This window comes from Homo sapiens, chromosome 10 (assembly GCF_000001405.40).
Source record: "Homo sapiens chromosome 10, GRCh38.p14 Primary Assembly".
Lineage (NCBI taxonomy): Eukaryota > Metazoa > Chordata > Mammalia > Primates > Hominidae > Homo > Homo sapiens.
In genome coordinates this window covers 18733100-18750585 of record NC_000010.11, presented here as the reverse complement: position 1 = coordinate 18750585, position 17486 = coordinate 18733100, and the positions used below count along the sequence as shown (strand labels likewise).

Here is a 17486-nt window from a genome sequence, read left to right as displayed (position 1 = left end):
CACCTACTATGTACCTACAAACATTAAAAATAAAAAAAAATTAAAAAGAAACCAGTTTGACTGGAGAGGAGAGAACAAGGGGAAGAAAACTAGGAAATAAAGTCAAAGATCATGCAGGGCTCCATAGCCCACTATACATGTTGAGTTGTTTCTTTTTTTGTTTTTTTGTTTTGTTTTGTTTTTTACAGAGAGAGAGAAGGAAAACATTGGAAAGTATTAAACAATAAACCAATTTGATTCTTACGTTTTAACAGGATCACATGACTGCCATGTGTTCATCAAATAATTTTATTGCTTCCCTTAATACATAGCTACATGCTATTTCCCAGTTTCCCTTGCTAGACAGGACTATGCAACTGACTTCTGGCCAAAAAGAAGTAGTCAGAAATGATGCTACTCTACTTCCAGTCCCGGCCTATGAGAAAACACATACACACTCTCTGCCAGATGCAGATAATCCAATATGTAATTAATTCCATGTTGTAAAGAAAGGTAGATCCACTACACGGAAGAATTCTGGGACCCTGAATGGCCATGTGGATCAGAGCTCCTTCACCTACTCACTGTCATGTGAGAAAATGACAAACATTTATTGCACTAAACCTCTGAGACTTTGGAGTTGTTTGCTAAGCAGTTAGTGTCATGACTAACATAGGAGGCTATTGCAATTATCCAAGTCTAATACAGTGGTGGTTTGGATCAGAGTGATAACAATAGTTATCAGTCAGATTTTTGACATATCTTGAAAATGAACCAATAGGAAGACTGACAGATTGTACTTGGGATGTGAAATTAAAAGTGGAGTTGAAGATAACTCCAAGATTTTTGGCCTGAACAACTATCTGCATTTACCTGACTTAGGGAAGATTCTGAGAGGATCCAGCTTTGGAAATAATTGGAAACTAAGTTTAAGAAATGGAAGGGTTGACCAAACGTAGTGGTTCATGCCTGTAATTCCAGCAATTTGGGAGGCTGAGGTGGCCAGATCACTTGAGGTCAGGAGTTTGAGACCAGCCTGGCCAACATGGTGAAATCCCATCTCTACTAAAAATACATACACAAAAACAATTAGCCAGTCATGGTGGCACATGCCTGTAATCCCAGCTACTCGGAAGGCTCAGGCAGGAGAATCACTTGAACCTGGGAGGTGGAGGTTGCAGTGAGCCGAGATAACGCCACTGCACTCCAGCCTCGGCGACAGAGCAAGACTCTGTCCCAAAAGAAAAAAAAAAAAGAGTGAAAGATTTGAGATCCAGCTGCAAATATCATATACAAGACTGCAGTTTAGGGGCAAGGCCTGGAGATATAAATTTTGAAGTTGTCAACATAATATTTTTAAGCTACAAGACCATGTAAGGTCTCTTAGGGAGCTGGTCTGAAGAAAAGCGCCCAAGGAGTATTCCAGTTTTCAAAGGCTAGGGAGGTTTCTGGGTTGGTTTGTTTTTTTTAAGTACCAAGCAGGTAAATTAGAAAGGAAAGCCAGTGAGGTAAGGGAAAACCTGGACAGAATGGACACCAGATAAAGAATTTTGGGCCAGGTGTGGTGACTCATGCCTGTAATCCCAGCACTTTGGGAGGCCAAGGCGGGCCAATCACCTGAGGTCAGGAGTTGGAGACCAGCCTGACCAACATGGAGAAACCCCGTCTCTACTAAAAATACAAAATTAGCCAGGCGTGGTGGCACATGCCTGTAATCCCAGCTACTCGGGAGGCTGAGCCAGGAGAATCGCTTGAACTCGGGAGGTAGAGGTTGCGGTGAGCCGAGATTACACCAGTACACTCCAGCCTGAGCAACAAGGGCAAAACTCTGTCTCAAAAAAAAAAAAAAAAAAGAATTTCAAAGACAATAGAGTAATTAACTGCATTCCCACGTGGTAGATCACCTAAGAATATTTTTGTCCTTTTTCTAAAGATAAAAAGGATGATACATAACTAAAAAATGAATAAATATTAATAAATTTTTGATCACTTCAAACTATAGCTAAGATTTTCTTCAAGCAGTGAGAATACTAAAAGAGTTCCATGAGGGACACACTAGTCAAGTATTATGCTTAAGGGAAGTGATCAAATGAAATTTGCTTTAAAAACTATTCTTTAATTAAATGGCAGTTTCATCAATCCCCAGAAGCAAAGCATATTTTGAATATCTAAATGGTAGAAAAAAATTGCTTATTTGTGGGGAAGGAAGTTAGGGGAGTCACAAAGTACTCAATTGTAAGCATTGTGATTTACAACCTCAGAAATTTTCTCTTTGGGGATGTATAATATTTTTATTTTTTTAAAAAATAGCAATTGTTTCTTAAAAGACTAGCTCTTTAAAACTATAAGGAATACTGAATTTTATGTAAGTAGGTAATAATTATTTCCTTCACATCACTGTCTTCCCAAATAGCTACAACTATTAAGCTTTCCCATCTTTACATACTTCCAATTTCTCTTCCTCCTTAATTCTTTTTAATATGTTAAAAATATTACCCTGAGTATTAAACTGAAAAATTTGTTGGGAATTAATACAAAGAGTAAACTAGCACTGACAGAATGTTGATAACAAAAGAAATGTTATTTAGAGGAATTACCTATTTACATACACAGAAAGACACAAAAAAATGAGGAACTAACAAATACCGATGAAAGACAAAATTAATTCAACAAAATAAAAAATAAACACATAAAAATTAAACAAGAAAAACTATAGCTATATCTGAACAATAAGACCAAGCACTAGTATATAGTTATAGATATCATAAATATTATTATAATTTACTAAAATTATAAAATTGGACCCAAGTTAAGCCCAAGTTGCTGATGGCCAACAAATCCTCCAAAGGAGTGATAATTAAATCTTTAATTTCCATATGTGTCTTGGATCTTCATACAAGGGCCACTGTGTTGTACAGTAGGTGACAACTTCAATTGCCTCCCTAAAATAAACACAAGAATGTGTTGCATTACAAAAATATATGCATCCAACAATGAAATTAACTGGAGGGGCAGATGCAAAAGAAATTTAAAAGGAATTTGGGGAACAAACCAAATCAAGCTAGGCACGATGCCTCATGCCTGTAATCCCAGCACTTTGGGAGGCTGAGACAGGTGGATCACTTGAGGTCAGGAGTTCAAGACCAGCCTGGCCAACATCATGAAACCCCATCTCTACTAAAAATACAAAAATTAGCTGGGTGTAGTGGTGGGTACCTGTAATCTCAGCTACTTTGGCGGCTGAGGCAGGAGACTCCCTTGAACCCAGGGGGCAGACACTGCAGTGTGAGCAGAGATCATGCCACTGCACTCCAACCTGGGTGATGGAGTGAGGCTCTGTCTCAAAAAAAAAAAAATCAATATGGACTACTGCATAGCTTTTCAATGTTCTGGTTTATTTCACAGAAAATAATGGGCTGCTTCAAACAGAAATCATGTTTCAGTGGTGCTTAGAAAAATACTAAAAATACAAGGATCTTGACCAGGTGCAGTGGCTCATGCCTATAATCCCAGCACTTTGGAAGGCAGAGGCAGGAGGATCACCTGAGGTCAGGAGTTCGAGACAAGCCTGGCCAACATGGTGAAACCCCGTCTTTACTAATAATACAAAAATTAGCTGGGTGTGGTGGCACTTGCCTGTAGTCCCAAATACTCGGGAGGCTGAGGCACAAGAATCGTTTGAACCCTGCAGGCAGAGGTTGCAGTGAGCCAAGATCTCACCACTGCACTCCAGCCTGGGTAACAGAGTGAGACTCTGTCAGAGGGGAAAGGAGGGGAGGGGAGGGGAGGGGAGGGGAGGGGAGGGGAGAATTCACCGTTTGTGCGCTGCCTTCAAGTTAACACCTGTCTTCACTGTGCTGTCTATGGTTGCAAATTCCTTGGAGATGGGAACTCTGCTATTTTAATTGTGCACAGCGCCTAGGGGAGGGAAGGGGAGGAGACTTGAGAATTCACTGTTTGTGTACAGCCTTCAAGTTAACACCTGTCTTCACTGTGCTGTCTATGGTTGCAAATTCCTTGGAGATGGGAACTCATTTTAATTGTGTACAGTGCCTAGCATGGCATCTTGCAGAAACAGAGATTTTCAAATGGCAAAAAACATTGACTCTTCTACAAAGGTTCTCTGACAAAAGGGTGATAGACTGCTGCCTCTAAGCTGCAGAGGTTCCTTTCCTCATTGCTCACAGCTCTGTGGATTGCATGATGTTCCTTGATTGTCATCCACTGGGAGTAAATGGAATAAAGAAAGAAAGACCTTGGAATTAGCATTTCTCAGTGCAGACCTTTAGAAACTGCCACTAAATTTTCTAACCACCAGCTGTATTATACAGCTTTAAGCATAAGTTGTAGAGTCTTACAATCCTTGCCCCACAAATTAAATAAATTTGAGCTGCAGATAAATAAATAAATCTGCAGAGTTGACCCAAAAATAGTAAAGCTCATTTTTTAGTACCTATGTAATAGTCATCATACATATTGTACTTAATAGAAATGCATTACAACTCGGTTGGGTAGATAATATTCAACTCATTCTAGCTTTGAGCTATTGAATATTTGTAAAATACTTTTTCTGGTGTGGACATAGCCAGTGAAGAGTACAGCCACACTCAAACCTCAAAACTGTGTTCATTCTACAATATCCAATATTGTTCTCTATCTTCCATATTATTTTTTGTTCAGAAATTTAAAGCAATGTTTATAAAATTAATGGATACTTTTTAAAATTAGAGCCTGATATAAGTCCATGCTCCTTTCACAATTCAACTCTGCTCTAAAGTTCCAGTTGATATTCTGTTTAGAAATTTGAAGTAGTGCTTATAAAATAATCCTTTTTCACAACTATAGCGTGACATAAAATTATGCATCTAAAATATGAATGCAGAAATAACAAACTTTAGAATGCATTGGAAAAGGTGACAACTTAAGAGATATTTTATCCAAAAAAAGAATCTCTTCTAGAACAATACACAATGAGATGTAAATTCAAGGTCTCCTTCTTCTTAATAAACATTAAACAACAGTCACATTTAGACACTGATATCAGTAATAAAAATAATACAGAGATATAAATTATTTCATTTAAAATATTTATATAAATATTTCTGGACTAAAAATAAGCACCGAAATGTGAATGCGTATTTCATTGACGTATTTGTTTTTGTGTGTCTGTGTGATCAATTGTATAAGCTAGAAGTACAGTAATTTACCTTAGAGATTTGGAAAACCGCTAAAACTGGCATAAATAAGCATAAGACAGGAGGTGTTCAATGCACATTAGGAATGCTAGTGCTCAAACCTGGTTAACATCACCACAGGATCTGAAATTCAAAGGTGTTAAAGTAAAATGGATCATAAAGTCAAACTAGGTATCAAATTCCAAAATATTAAGAATAACTGGGCTATTGAATAACAGGCTTAACATTGATACGAGTTGAATAATAATAAAGTTAAAGCTTTTGATCTGTAAGATCTGTCATTTCTGAAATATTATTTCACCAACCTAGACAAAAGAAATGAATTGTTCGTTTTCCTTCCAATATCACAACTGTCTCAAAAGGTTCTCTTTACAGCTACCAAATTTTGCTTTTTATAATTCTGAGATCATTTTGAAATGCCGATACATTTTTCTAAAGTGAATTGTTAAGAAATAATGGACTCTTAACAATGTAATCTCCTGTTCAATTTAAAATGTTTTAGGTCTCATTGCAATCTCATTGTAAATGAGCCTCAGATTATACAATACCATCAAAGCAAAATCTGTCCAGGATTTTCTCATGTGTTTTGTGTTTATAAACTTTTTTTCAGCCTGTAGAAACTATTTTAGACCTTGAGCTTTGCAGTGACTAAGGAACTGTTAAATAAATAATTTAAATATTAATAGATATATCATAATACAGCTTTTAAATGGAGCGATATGTACCATGCAATTCTATTTTCTGATAGTACAGACCAGGTTTCATAACTAATCCTCCAACCAAAAACAAGTTAAAATGCCAAGTGAAGTATATTTTTAATCTTTTTAAATGTCTATAGCTAGCTAGCAAGAAAAGTAAGGAATATTTAGATGTCAAAAATTAAGTGAGGAAAGAAACGCAACAAGGTAAGAAGAGAATTTAAAACAGATCATTCCTTAAAGAAAGTCAATTCTTAAATTTGGTAATTTTAAGTTTTGGAATTTTTCATGACTTTAAAGGTACAGGAACAGATAACAGTGCCCAAAGCATGTCCAGTGAAGGAGTTTAATAGAATGAGAAAGGAAAAAGAATGATATAGGAAATATTTGAAGGAATAATGACTTCAAGTTCCTAAAATCTCTGGAAGATCCCTCTCCACAAATTCAGAATCCTCACAAATATCAAGCAAGATTAAAGAGAGAAATATACATCATAATGAAACTTCCAAAAAACAATGAAAAAGAGAAATCCTAAATAAAGCAAGAGAAAAAATAGACATCACATGCAAAGGAATTATAATGAGACTGACAGACAATTTATCCTGTGCAACAATGGAAACCAGAAGAAAGTGGAATTATATGCATACTGAGACAAATTAGGTGTAAGAGTTCTAAACCTAATGAAAAAAATTAATCAAATTTATTAAGGTATATCTAAAATAAGCTGTATGAATGTGTGCAATTCAGTGAGCTTCAAAAGATTATTATAACCATGAAACCAATGCCACAACCAAAATACAGACTATTTTATCACCCCAAAAGCTACCTCAAGTGCTTTTACATTACCTACCACTCTCTACCACTGGTACCAGACAATTGCTGCTATATATTTTTTATAGTATAGCATTTTCTGCACTTTTTTACATGAATGGCATCACACAATATCCATTTCTTGTGTCTTGATCCTTTTACTTAGAATAATTCTGAGGTCGATGCATGCTGTATTATGAATCAGCAGTTCATTCTTTATTTCGGAGTACTATTCAGTTGTAAAGATATACCACATTTCACTTATCCATTCACAGATATTTAGGTTGTGTCCACTTTTTGGCTATTGGGCATAAAGCAGTTATTAACATTCATCTTTGTGTAGATCCATGTTTTCATTTTATACCTAGAACAAAATGTCTGGATCATATGGTAGGCATATGTGTACTTCTTAAAATGTGACAATCTTCCAAAGTAATTTGAAGTGTAGGAGAATTCCTGTTGCTTCAAATTCTCACCAATATTTGTATTCCCAGAAATTTTACCATAAGCATTCTAATTATATGTAGTGTTATCTTATTGTGATTTGGACTTTTATTTTCCTGATATGTCAAGCACGTTTTCATGTCTTATTGACCATTGTTTCCTAAAGTATCTGTCCAAATTTTTTGCCCATTTTCAAATTGGATAGTTTGTCTTCTTATTTTTTAATTAGAAGAGTGTTGGCCAGGCGTGGTGGCTCACACCTATAATCGCAGCACTTTGGGCAGATCACCTGAGGTCGGGAATTCCAGACCAGCCTGACCAACATGGAGAAACCCCATCTCTACTAAAAATACAAAATTAGCCGGGCATGGTGGTGCATGCCTATAATCCCAGCTATTCGGGAGGCTGAGGCAGGATAATCACTTTAATCCAGGAGGTGGAGGTTGTGGTGAGCCAAGATCGCATTATTGCACTCCGGCCTGGGCAACAAGAGTGAAACTCTATCTCAAAAAAAAATAATAATAAGATCTGATTTATCGATTTTTTTATTTTATGAGTCATGCTTTTTGTGTAATAACTAACAAAATTTCCTACTCAAAGTTGCCAAAAGATTTTAACCCATGTTTCCATCTAAAAGTCTTACTTTTTTAACTTTCCCATTTACGTCTATACTTCATCTCAAGTTAATTTTTGTATGTAATGGAAGGGAAGGGTTGATGTTTATTTTTTTTCATACAGACATTCATTTGCTTCAGCACCATTGTTGAAAAGACATTTCTTTCCCCATGAAATTGCTTTAGCATCCTGTAGAAAATTATTTAGTAGGTATATGTATGAGTTTATTTCTAGATTTCCCATTCTGTTCCATTGATCTATATATTAACTCCTTCACTAAAATCATAAGGTGGATGAAATACACAAAAATCATAAAATGATAAAGAGTATTCCAAATATATTAATTTAAAAACTTATGGAGCAAATGTTCTCATTTAAGAAAGAAGAAACTTATAAACTGTGTTTTCTAAATCCAGCTATATTTTGTTTATAGACAATATATATCTGTAACATAAAGATGTACAGTATGAAAGAAGAAAAACTGTTATGTATATGCCAAGCAAATACTGAGGAAAGCTTGTATAATTCCATTAACAGTAAACAATTTGTTTATAAATGAAGAACATTGATAGAAATAAATCAATTCATAATGATAAAAGGTTCAATACACATGGACAACTATCAGTCCCAAAATTATAAGCAACTAATAACATAAGTTCAATGAATACAAAGCAAAAAATTATGTAAACACAACAAGAAAAAAACACTCTCAACATAGAATATTTTAATATACCTCTTCCATTAATCAACATATAAATCAGACATCTTGTTACAGTCTAGCCCAAATGAAAGTGCAAAAGTGTTCCCAAAACCCGAAGATCAAAGAAAATACCACTGCAAATGCCACATCCACAGATATCTGAAGCTCTCCAACCTTATGGATGAATCACCTCATTATCCTCTTACCAAAAATTCCAACCTTTTAATATGCCTGAACAGGTAAGGAAGTGCTTGTTCCTGTTTGGTTTAGGCTAAGTAATACAAAGTGCTGTAACAAACAAACCTAATAAATTTCAGTTGGCTTAACAAAATAAAGGTTTTTTTTTAATTCATTTTACAATCCAATTGAATGACCACCAACTGATATGGTCACACAGTGACCCAGGTCACTTCCACCTGGAGGTTCCACTATACCATAGAACCTTAACTAAAGAACCTCATAGAACCTCGTGGTTCCACCATGCCATAGAACCTCAACTAAAGAACCTCATAGAACCTCATGGTTCCACCATGCCATAGAACCTCAATTAAAGAACCTCATAGAACCTCGTGGTTCCACCATGCCACGGAACCTCAACTAAGGAATCTCATAGAACCTCATGGTTCCACCATGCCATAGAACCTCAACTAAAGAACCTCATAGAACCTCATGGTTCCACCATGCCATAGAACCTCAACTGTAGAACCTCATGATTCCACCATGCCATAGAACCTCAATTATAGAAGCTCATGCTTCCACGATGCCATAGAACCTCAATTATAGATCCTCATGGTTCCACACTGCCATAGAACCTCAACTATAGAACCTCATGCTTTCACCACGTCATAGGACCTCAACTAGAGAACTTCATGTTTCCACCATGCCACAGAACCTCAACTATAGAAATTCATGGTTCCACAATGCCATAGAACTTCAATTATAGAACCTCATGATTCCACTATGCCATAAACCTCAACTATAGAACCTCATGATTCCACCATGCCATAGAACATCAACTATTGAACCTCATGGTTCTACAATGCCATAAACCTCAACTATAGAACCTCGTGGTTCTACAATGACACAGAACCTCATGGTTGCATCCTGCCATAGAACCTCATGGTTGCACCCTGCCATAGAACCTCAACCTCACAGAATCTGTTGCTGGATCTTGTACATCTATCTAGAATCTGGGGGAAGTGAAAGAATGGCAGTTCACAGGAGGTTTTAATGGATCAGTATTGGAAGGGAACACATAACTTCACAAGATTTAGTTACACAGCCAGACATAATTACAAAGGAGGCTGGAAATTATTTTGTAATGTGCCCATGAAGTAGATAAAATAGTTTTGGGGAACACATAGAATACAATAAAGCCACCCTTTTTAGTGGACAGCTCAGTAAGTTTCGACAAGCACGTTTAGTTATGCCATCTGCAGCACAATCAAGATATAGGATAGCAGAATTACCCCCAAAAAATTCCCCTTTCCTCTTCACAGTCAACTCCTCTGCCCGGACTCCCACCTCTAGCTCCTGGCAACTATAGATCTACTTTCTGTCTTTCTAGTTTTGTCTTTTCCAAAATACCAAATAAATGGAATCATATAACATGTAGCCTTTGGGGGCAGGATTCTTTCACTTAATTTAGTGTTGTTCTGTATATTAGTAGTTTGTTCCCTTTTGCTGCTGAGTTATACCCCAAGATGCATGACACCAAAAGACCAATTCATAAAAAAAAATATATAGATGAATTTGACTTCAAAATAAGAACTCCTGCCCTATGAAAGACACTCTCAGGAGATGAAAAGAAAAGCCACAGACTATGAGACAATATTTGCAAACAGCATATCTGACAAAGGACCTATATCCAGGATATATAAAGAGTTCTTAAAACGCAGTAACATTTTTTAAATTATTTAATGGGCAAAAGATTTGAACAAACACTTCACCGAAGACATATGGATGCCAATAAGCATGTGAAAAGATGCTCAATATCACTAGTCATCATAGAAATCAAAATTAAAACCATAATGAGATATCACTACATACCTATTATAATGGCTGTAACTTTTTTTTTTTTTTTTTTTTTGAGATGGAGTTTTTCTCTTGTCACCCAGGCTGGAGTGCAATGGCACGATCTCGGCTCACTGAAACCTTTGCCTCCCAGGCTCAAGTGATTCTCCTGCCTCAGCCTCCTGAGTAGCTGGGATTAGTAAAGGCACCTGCCACCAGCCCAGCTAATTTCTGGGTTTTTTTAGTAGAGATGAGGTTTCAGCATGTTGGCCAGGCTGGTCTTGAACTCCTGACCTTAGGTGATCCGCCTAAATGGCTGTGGGCTGTGATATTTTAAATCGGCGATACAAAGTGCTCAAAATGATGCTGAGCAATTGGAATTCTTTTCGATTCCTAGCAGGAATATGAAATACACATCCACCCAATTTGGAAAACAGTCTTGCAGTTTCCTTAAAATTAAACATACATTTACCATACAATCCAGCAATTCTACTCCTAGGTATTTACACAAGTGAAACAAAAACTTAGGTTCACATAAAAACCAGTAAAAATGTTTATAGCAGCTTAATTCATAAACACTAAAAACTGGAAATAATCCAAGTATCAATCTACTGGCAAAAGGATACACAAAATCTATTGTTTTTCAATGCTAAATTAGGTAATGTCTGGATATATACTAAGGGCTCCAAAGTTTATTAGATGAACAAGTCTATTTTATCTCACGTTAAGCTGCAATCTTAGTTCTAAAACACTATTGTTTTAGAAAGTAAAGTTTGTTATTTTGTTTTTATTTTCTCATTCCAGTGAACTATCAGTTCTCTTCAAGGAAACAGTGAGAAGCAAACAAAGCAGAAGTCTGGCAAATGTGTGAGACTGAAATATCTATTAGGCCAAAAAAGATCGAGAGAAAGATTACTCCAGATGAGACAGCCAGTCATTGGCACTAAGCAATTTCAGCTGTGTCCTAGATTCCAAAAGTAAAGTCAATACTGGGAACAGTGTTTCTTCAAAAGCCCACGGAAGGTTCTCACACAACACTCACAATGCATATCTGTTTCCCAATCTTTAGGCAAGAGCTGCATTCAACATATTCTGAGTAAAATAGGCCAATGGCCATTTTAAAGACATTATATGTGAATCACTCAAATTTCCAACATGCCTGGGAATAAGCCTAAAACTATGTGGTTTACAAGAAATGCTTGTGAAATGTTATCTCGGTCACCCCTACATTTTTATGTCATTTTTTTGTGAAGTGTTTTATTGTTTAAGGTTTAATGTCTAATTCCTAATTCTTTAATTTTTTTTAGAAGAATCAGATTTTTTTCATGATGTGAAAATTAAGAATTTGCCTACATGGTTGAAAACATTCACAAGAGACTTGATTATTCACATTTATATACACAGAGAAAGTTTGCTGAATTAAAAAAAAATGCTCCTTTACCCATGCAACCCACTCTCAGGGACACTGAAGGGCTTGTCTATTCCACTGTGGGCTTCAGTTTTCATGAATGTTGAATAGTTTGGCCACTTCATTGAGATCTTCAAGTTGCTCACCATCCTCAGTGGTCTTCCTTGCTATCGGCATTCGGTTAAAGATGTTCCATATAGCATGAGCCCCATGACCACTTTGTCCCTGGGATCAAAAATGTCACCTTTGCCGTAGTCTTCTCCCTGGAGAGGAGCCTTGGAACTGCAGGGGTTCTAGGAGGAAGAGTAATTTCTGAGGCCTCGTACCGTGTTTCACTCTCTGAGCAGATAACAGCTCCTGATTGCTCTTTGGCAGATTTTGGGTTGTCTTGCACAGCTGCTTTTGCAAAAACACCAACTGTGGGCCAATAGCTTCATAGCCAGCATCAGGGCTCAAATCATTCCAGCACACTGACTGATGCCAATACGGCTTAGCAGCTCCAGTCATATTTTCTCCAGCCAATCTTCTGCTCACAAAAGCTTGATCATGGTGCTCTAACCGCCTCCTCCCCAGATTTATATCATAGAAGCATGCAGCATCTCCTGCCACCCAGATGTTTAGGCATGAGTATAGCTCTACATTTACCCAGAAGCCACCAAAATCTGGGCCTATTTCCAGCCCACCAGTTCTCGGCCAACTCAGCACTGGGCTTCAGGCTCACGGCTGCTGCTATGTGGTCAGTTTCTACCTTCCCACCATCTTTCAACGTGATGAGTAACTTGCCACTGCTGACTCCAACCGGTTGCACAACAGCAATGGGTATCATCTTAACCCCCTCTCGTCTGACTTTTTCCACGGTTCAGTTGCAGAGGGATTTGCAGAAGACCTTTCCCATATTTCCCTTCTCAGAAAACAGGTGAATCACTTCTGTGCCCAAGGCTCCAACCCTTTCTGCCAAGAGCACAGGCCAGTTCACCACCAAGCAAGCCCCCACCGATAACCATAATTGACTTGACTTCCATGAAATCTTCTCCAGAGTCCTAGAGTCTCCAATCTTTCTAGAGAGTGTTGCTCTGCTCTTCACCTCTGATCCAGCTTCATCAATTTCAGACAGACTTCTTGGAGGACCTCTTGTTGCAATCAAGCAGTTTTCATAGGCTATTTGGGAGCCATCATTAAGTTTCACTGTGTTGCCTCTCACTTTCAGCTATACCATCTTCTACCTCGTGAGGATGGCCACAACACCATTCTCAATGTGAGGCAAGTCCTGGGCAGAGACACAGAAAGAGGTGGCTGGAAATACATGCTTCTCTCTTTTTCCATTCCACTGTCTGAATCACACTGTCTTTGTGACATCTGAGTCATCTGAAAACCACAGTTCTTTTGGAATTTTTGTTTGTTTTTCACTTTTATTTTAGGTTCAAGGGTACACGTGCAGGTTTGTTACATAGGTAAATTGGATGTCACAGAGGTTTGGTGTACAGATTATTTCATCACTCAAGTAATGAGCATAGTACCTGATAGTTAGTTTTTCAATCCTCACCCTCCTCCCACCCTCTACCTTCAAGTAGGCCCCAGTGTGCACTATTCTGTTCTTTTTGTTCATTTGTACTCAATGTTTAGCTCCCACTTATAAGTGAGAATATGTGGTATTTGGTTTTCTGTTCCTGTGTTAGTTCACTTAGGATAGTGACCTCTAGCTCCATCCATGTTGCTGCAAAGGACATGATTTCATTCTTTTTATGGCTATGTAATACTCTATGGTGTATGTATATGTACCACATTTTCTTTATCCAGTCTACCACTGATGGGCATTTGGGTTGATTCCATATCTTTGCTATTGTGAATAGTGCTGCAATGAACATACACGTGCATGTGTCTTCATGGTGGAATGGTTTATATTCCTTTGGGTATATACTCATTAATAGGATTGCTGGCTTGAATGGTAATTCTATTTTAAGTTCTTTCAGAAATCACCAAACTGCTTTCCACACTGGTTGAACTAATTTGCACTCCCATCAACAGTGTATAAGCATTCCCTTTCTCAGCAATCTCACCAGCATCTGTTATTTTTTGACTTTTTAGTAATAGTCATTCTGACTGGTGTGAGATGGGATCTCATTGTGGTTTTGATTTGCATTTCTCTAATAATTAATGATGTTGAGCATTTTCTCATATGCTTGTTGGCTGTGTCTTCTTTTGAAAACTCTCTATTCATTCCTTTGTCCATTTTTTTAATGGGGTTGTTTATTGCTTGTAAATTTGTGTAAGTTCCTTATAGATTCTAGATATTAGACCTTTGTTAGATGAACAGTTTGCAAATATGTTCTCTCTTTCAGTAGGCTGTTTACTCTGTTGATAGTTTGTTGTTGTTGTTGTTGTTGTTGCTGTACAGATGCTCTTTAGTTTAATTAGGTCCCATTTGTCAACTTTTGTACCATGGTTCTTTTCAAAGGGGAGATCACATGTATGGCAGCTCAGGATCTTCAGACATAATGAGGACCCCGGTCCCAGGATCCCGAACCCAGGTGGCTTCGGCTGCAGCAAAAACAGCAGTTCTTCCGCCAGTTAGCAGGAAAGGGACATGATTTGGCAAGCTGCCTTGAGGAACTGGCTCTCCATCTAGAGCAGATAATGTGGCCCTTTTTTGCTTCTCTTCTGATGTCAGCCCTAACCCTAGCATTCTTTCATTATATCTTTTTTGGTTATCCTTTATAGTCTTGCAGGCATATGCACCAGCTCCTGCTGTTGATAAGCCCACAATAAGGACTTACACAGAATTATCTACTCTGCCTCCTGGTGCACCAGAGCTAGCCATTTGTCATGTCATCTGGAGTTCTAGAGGAACACCCCAGTGCTGGAACAAGTTGCTTAGAAGCCAGTTCCTCTGCCTCAGGCTGCAGACACACACCATCTGCACCAAGGGCACCAGCTTCTGCTTCAAAGCACCCACCACAAGGCCTCCACATCAGAACATTTCAGCAACTGCTACTCGGAACCTCTTCCTTTCGTTTCCTTGGATTCACATCAGACCAACGGGTCAAACACCACCAATGTTTATGTTTTTACACTTAATTTTTTCCCTAATGATTGTGGAATACTCTCAATTTAATTATTCACAACATACTTGCAAAAGTCTACATTGTATATTAGGAAGTAAAAAGCTAGTCACCTACTTGTTGTAAAAGCTTTGAGAAGACCTACATCTCATCTGTTGGCAGAATCCCAGGGAGATGATTGGCCAAAAAATATAAAAATAATAAAAGACTGAGTTCCAGAAAAGAAGTGGAGCTGATGCAAGATGGAAAGATCTCAATCAGAGATGAAGACTGTGAGAATGGTTCAAGTACACATGCTGAGACTGGAGGATTAATTTTCCATCCTAAAAACCATTTACAGAGCAGAATGCAAGTGTATAAAAAAGGATAAAGGAGGCCAGGCATGGTGGCTCAAGCCTGTAATCCCAGCACTTTGGGAGGCCAAGGCAGGTGGATCATGAGGTCAAGAGTTCGAGACCAGCCTGAACAACATGGTGAAACCTTGTCTCTACTAAAAATACAAAAAAAAAAAAAATTGTCCAGGCCTGCGAGCATGGGCCTGTAATCCCAGCTATTCAGGAGGCTGAGGCAGGAGAATCTGGGAGGCAGAGATTGCAGTGAGCCAAGATCACACCACTGCACTCCAGCCTGGGGGACAGAGCGAGACTCCATGGCAAAAAAAAAAAAAAAAAAAAAAATAGATAAAGGCTGTCACCTGTTGCAGGAGTCTGAATTATGCCAGCTCAGTGGCTGATCTCAGCCACCCACAAAGAGGCACCTTGCCCAGGTAACATCAGCAACTGGGCCGCAGAGAAATGCTCACCATGTCCACAAGAGCATTAGTGCAGCACTGCCATTAGCTCCAGGCTTTAGATTCTTAGAGGACCCCTTCAGTGAGCATTTCAAAGCTGACACCCCTGACATCAATAAAACAAAGAAGATAAATGGCAGTTTTCATAAAATTGCAAGGACCACCAACCCCACCCCAGAAAGAGAAGGACAGAGGCTAGGTTCGAGCAACCCTTAGAGGACGTGGGGGGCTGAGCTGCAGAGTTCCAGGCTCATTTATATCTGTCTCTTAGTCTAATAATCTTATATAGCAAGGAGCAATAGCTGTTAGAATAATATTTATGGTTACATAGTATTCAGCAAAAAGCAGACACCTCATTCAATTATTTACTTTGACTATATACATGGTAAATAGCTCTCAGAAAATGTCTCTCAAAGCGACCTTAGCTTTTAGTCTCCACCAAAAGAACTTCAGATTTCAAAAGGGATAGCATCCAATATTAAGTTTCCCTTGTCACTTCTTACAATTTCTTATCAGGTTGGTGCAAAAGTAACTGCAGTTTTTGCCATTGACAGTAATGGCACTTCAGGAGGCTGAAGCGGGCAGATCACCTGAGGTCAAGAGTTCGAGACCAGCCTAACCAACATGGAGAAACCCCCGTCTCTACTAAATATACAAACTTAGCCAGGTGTGGTGGCACATGCCCAGCTACTTGGGAGGCTGAGGCAGGAGAATCGCTTGAACCCAGGAGGTAGAGGTTGCGGTGAGCCAAGATCGTGCCATTGCACTCCAGCCTGGGCAAAAAGAGCAAGACTCTGACTCAAAAAAAAAAAAAAAAAGTCACAGGTAATCAACCATACTTTGCCAAGTTGAAAATGTATTTGTTGAGAGCACAAGATAAACAGAATAAGTTAATACTCTAATCCCTTCTTAAAAGTCAACTACAGGCCAGGCATAGTGGCTCATGCCTGTAATCCCAGCATTTTGGGAGGGTGAGACAGGTGGATCATTTGATCCCAGGAGTTTGAGACCAGCCTGGGCAACATGGTAAAACCCCGTCTCTATAAAAAATTAGCCAAGTGTGGTTGCGTACACCTGTGGTCCCAGCTACTTGAGAGGCTGAGGTGGGAGGATCACTTGGGCCTGGCAGGTGGAGGCTGCAGTAACATAATTGCACCACTGCACTCCAGCCTGGGCAACAACAGCGAGACTTTGTCTCAAAAAGAATAAAAATAAAAAATAAAAACTTAGGACTCCTAATTCAAACCAACTTAGGATTTCTCCACAAATAAGACAGCAGAGGTTTTTCTACTGCGGTTAACTTTCTCCTTGTATTTATTGGATAAAATCATATGAGTAAATGCAAGCATAATTCTCTGGATGGACTAATATTTTAGAAATAAAAATGGAGTGTCTCATATTGCCAAAATAATTTGAAATTAACTGTAAATTGCATCCCTGTTCTAAAACATCATGTTTAGAAACATGAATCAACAGAATGACTCTTTTTTTTTAATGGCTAAAACCAACAGAAGAGCAACTGGGTTCCATTTTGAGAAGGTAGGATACCATAGGGGTTAAGGACAGTCTTTCAGGTCAGTAGATTTGAAAGGAAATCCTACCTCTCAGAAGCACCTCAAATCATGTGTGTCTTCTTTAACAATTTACTTCTTTCCTTTAAGCTTTACTTTCCTACCCGTAGGAAGACAATATTAATAACTACCTCATAGCAAAGCAACTCAATTAATCTATATGAACTATAGTTCCTCCTGCTGTAAAAATGGACTGTTCATACT

At 38.3% G+C, this 17486-nt stretch overlaps 1 long non-coding RNA gene and 1 pseudogene across 2 annotated transcripts in view; both read right to left on the bottom strand.

Moving 5' to 3' along the window:
* The window catches only part of LOC105376440 (uncharacterized), a 126250-nt gene that overhangs the window by 85958 nt on the left and 22806 nt on the right, over positions 1-17486 (bottom strand). Inside the window, exon 2 of one of the 2 annotated variants that reach the window (XR_930721.2) lies at positions 3795-3897. The exons of the other annotated variant lie outside the window; for it this stretch is intronic. This is a non-coding gene — a long non-coding RNA (uncharacterized LOC105376440). The remainder of the gene's footprint in view (positions 1-3794; positions 3898-17486) is intronic. 2 annotated transcript variants of the gene reach the window in all.
* On the bottom strand, positions 11747-14911 carry AIFM1P1 (AIFM1 pseudogene 1; annotated as a pseudogene).